The sequence below is a fragment of the Homo sapiens genome, chromosome 6 (genome assembly GCF_000001405.40).
Source record: "Homo sapiens chromosome 6, GRCh38.p14 Primary Assembly".
NCBI classification, from domain to species: Eukaryota; Metazoa; Chordata; class Mammalia; order Primates; family Hominidae; genus Homo; species Homo sapiens.
Genome location: NC_000006.12, coordinates 143,373,739 through 143,377,615, shown reverse-complemented (window position 1 = coordinate 143,377,615; position 3,877 = coordinate 143,373,739). Strand labels below are relative to the sequence as shown.

Sequence of the window (3,877 nt, the reverse complement as noted above, 5' to 3'; positions counted from 1 at the left end):
TTTGATTATCTGTTACTGAGTTATTTCACTTATGATAATGGCCTCCAGCTCCATCTGAGTTGCTGAAAAGGACATTATTTATTCTTTTTCTATGGTTGCATAGTATTCCATGATGTATAAATGCTGCATTTCCTTTACCCAATCAACTGCTGATGGACACTTATGTGATTTTGTGACTTTGCTCTTGTGAATAGTGTTACAATAAACATAGGAGTACAGGTGTCTTTTTGATATAATGATTCCTTTTCCTTTGGGTAGATACCCAGTAGTGGGATTGCTGGGTTGAAAGGTAGTTCTATTTTTAGTTCTTTGAGAAATCTCTGTACTGTTTTCCATAGGGGTTGAACGAATTTACATTCCCACCAACAGTGTGTAAGAGTTCCCTTTTCTCTGCATCCTTGCCAACATCTATTGTTTTTTTGACATTATAATACTAGGCATTCTGACTGGTGTGAGGTGGTATCTCACTGTGGTTTTAATTTGCATTTCTCTGATGCTTAGTGATGTTCAGCATTTTTTCATGTTTATTGGCAAGTTGTATGTCTGGTTAGAAGTTCTTTTAAGTAGGAGTTAAACTCACTCTACAGAGAACTTCCATGACCTCAGTCAGAGACAAGAATTTATTCTTGGAGATAAAGAACCAGGGCCATTTAGCCCTCAGGCACAGCAGAGGAAGAGTGAGTGCAGTACTGAAACTTTAAAAGATGAGTGTATTAGTCTGTTCTCACACTGCTAATAAAGACATACCTGAGACTGGATAATTTACAAAGGAAAGCAGCTTAATGGACTCACAGTTCCACATGGCTGGGAAGGCATCACAATTATGGCAGAAGGTGAATGAGGAGCAAAGTCACATCTTACATGGCAGCAGACAAGAGAGTGTGTGCAGGGAAACTGCCCTTTTATAAAACCATCAGTTCTCATGAGACTTATTCACTATCCTAAGAACAGCATGGGAAAAGCCTGCCCCTGTGATTCGATGACCTCTCACCGGGTCCCTTCCACAACATGTGGGGATTGGAGAGCTGCAATTCAAGATGATATTTGGGTGGGGACAGAACCAAATCATATCAATTAGCATAGGAATTTTAATGTCTAATGGCTTTCCAGAGAGCAAGGGGAGAGGATGCAGAGAGAGAGAGAGAGAGAGAGAGAGAATGAGAGAAAGAGTAAGAGAGAGAGAGCAGAGGAAGTCGGAAAAATATTATAGAAATAATGTAAGGAAACTTCTGAGAACTGGCAGACATACATTTTCAGATTGTAAACGCCTAACAAAACTCAGTACATTGAATTTAAAAGACTCACACCAGGGCACATTGTGAAATTTAATAACACTGGGAATAAAGAGACAGGCCAAAAAGTTTTGAGAGAGAGAGAGAGAGACAGACAGAAAGAGAATGGCAAATAAAGAAATGGGGATTATAATAAGTATTAGGCTTCTCAGCATCAACTCAAGAAGCTCAAAAACAGTGAAGCACAGTTTTAAATATCAGTGGAAATTATTTCTAACCTAGAATTGTGTCCTTATTCATGAACCATGAAGACAGAATAAAGACCCATCCAGACATGTAACAAGTAAAGAAACCAAAAAAACCCAACTTCCCATGTATTCTCTCTTGGGAAATCTTTGGAGGCCCCTCCCTCCCTCCCTCCCTCCCTCCCTCCCTCCCTCCCTCCCTCCCTCCCTTCCTTCCTTCCTTCCTTCCTTCCTTCCTTCCTTCTTCCCTTCCTTCTTTCCTTCTCTTTTCTCTTTCTTTCTTTTATTGAGACAGGGCTTTGTGCTGTTGCCTAGGTTGGTGTGCAGTGGTGTCATCATAGCTCACCGAAACCACCAGCTCCTGGGCTCAAGTGATCCTCCCAGCTCAGTCTCCCAGGTAGCTGGGACTACAGGTGTGTGCCACCAACGTGGCTAATTTTTAAGATTTTTGTAGAGATAGGATCTCATTTTGTTGCCTAGGTGGGTTTCAAACTCCCGGCATCAAGTGTTCCTCCTGCCTCTGGCCTTCCAAGCTGTTGGGATTATAGCTGTGAACCACCACCCCCAGCTCTGAGGCTTTTCTTATGTAAATAAAGAATAAACCAAGAAAGAGGAAGACATGGAGTCCCCAAAACAACGGCTCAAACTTGGGAGAGAAGAAAAGGGAGTTTCCAGGTGGATGGAGACAGCAAGTTTCAGGGTGTCACCCGTGGAGCAGGCCAAGCAGCCTGGTCACATGGAGCAAAAGGAAGGAAGGCCCCCAGAGAGAACCTTTCAAGTAAAATGATGAGATGGATAGATGGCCTGATGTGTTTGATCCTATTGAGAGGGACTTCATGCTTCTGATGAAAAGTTTGGGTAAGGATTAGTAATAGCGAAATTAAAAAATTAAGCAAGCAAGCAAACACATGAGGCTATTATTATAATAGCTTCAGAAAGTAAAAGTTGTGTGAGAAAGTATTTCTAATCATAAACACCACCTGGCTCTACGGTACAGATGTTAGAGCATCAAACTCCACAGCGTGATGTAATTTGCTATATGAATTGAGATTTGATGTGATCAAGGAAAACCAGAGATATGGCAGTTGCCTGGGAACATTTTGATTTGTAACTATCATAGCTTTTCAGTAGTTTCCCCTTGTCATTCTCTTGGGGTGTTATTTTTCCCCCCAACAAAATTCTGCCTTCTCTAGGATCCTATGATCAATGAAAATAAGTAACACTCTGGAGCAATTCCTGTCTTTATTTAAGCAGGTGCTAAATAATTATAGACATCGTTAACATTTAAAGGGTGTATTTCCTTTTAAGTCCTTAAAGTACATGTTCACATTCATGTTTCCTATGAAAAGTAAATTTCAATGAGGAGAAGAAACGAAATGGCAAAGCAGTTTAAAAAGCCCAAATCTTGACTGGTTCTGGTAAATAGAAATGTGACAGGTGGTTTCACCTTCCTGAAATCACTATTTTATTCTGAAAAGAATGGAAGTGACTCTGGCTTAGAATCCCTTTAGTAATGATAGGGACTTTGAACTCTTCTTTTGTAAGGTGCAAGTTGTGAGTTACATATACTTTCTAGGGAGTCATATGCAATTAACTGATGTGTTGACATCCAGAGATCAGTTGTGCCATGTATCTATTTTCCAGGCTTATTAATTTAAAATAGCTCCACAATGAAAATAAGGGTTGACACTGAGGGTTACTAGACACTGAGGGTTTGTTTTTTTTTTTCCTGGAGTTATTGTTCTTATGTCCTGGAATTTACTTTCTTGACAGTCTTTTAAAACTATGATGGTATCTCATATTTCCCCAGTGGTTCTGCCTGAAGGCAGAGAAATAGATTTCAACGACCTCTCAAGACCCCCTTTGAGTCCCAATGTGTCTGAGTTTGCCACCTGTCCTGCAGGCCACCAGAAGGTGTCAACCATTAACCACAGGAAGTTCTATGGCCCCATGAAAATAGTGATTAGTAAGAGAGGCATACCCGAAGTTGACCTGCCATCCATGCACCTGATTTTCTCCTTGGATACCTTAAAGGTGTTAGAGTTAAGATGAGAGATCTCCATAACATCCAGAGAATGGATCTACAAAATTTCAAAAGATATTATTTTCTCTCATCTTCTTAGTGATACAATTTGTAATGAAGGTAAACCTGTGAAGATTCATTGCTGTGTTTTTAAAAGCTGTAATTGCAGAAACTTAAACCTCCTTAATCTGGAATTTGGGCTAAAAACCACCACTAAATTAGGAGACTGCCAATACTCCTTCTTTTAACCATACAGACGAAATATAATCTCACTAGAACTTTTCTTAGAACCCATCTGGATGCCTGGGAAAAGTAATATGAAGAATTCGAAATTTTCCTAGGCATGTAAAATAATGAGCATGTTTTAATGTGTTTCA

The 3,877-nt window shown here is 40.0% G+C and overlaps 1 annotated feature.

Annotated features, from left to right (window-relative positions):
* Positions 2,262 to 2,321: an enhancer, noted in NCBI's record as "active region_25197". NCBI's record gives its function as "activates an Ori minimal core promoter by ATAC-STARR-seq in GM12878 lymphoblastoid cells {active_cell/tissue: GM12878}" and the evidence as "EXISTENCE:reporter gene assay evidence [ECO:0000049][PMID:35858748]".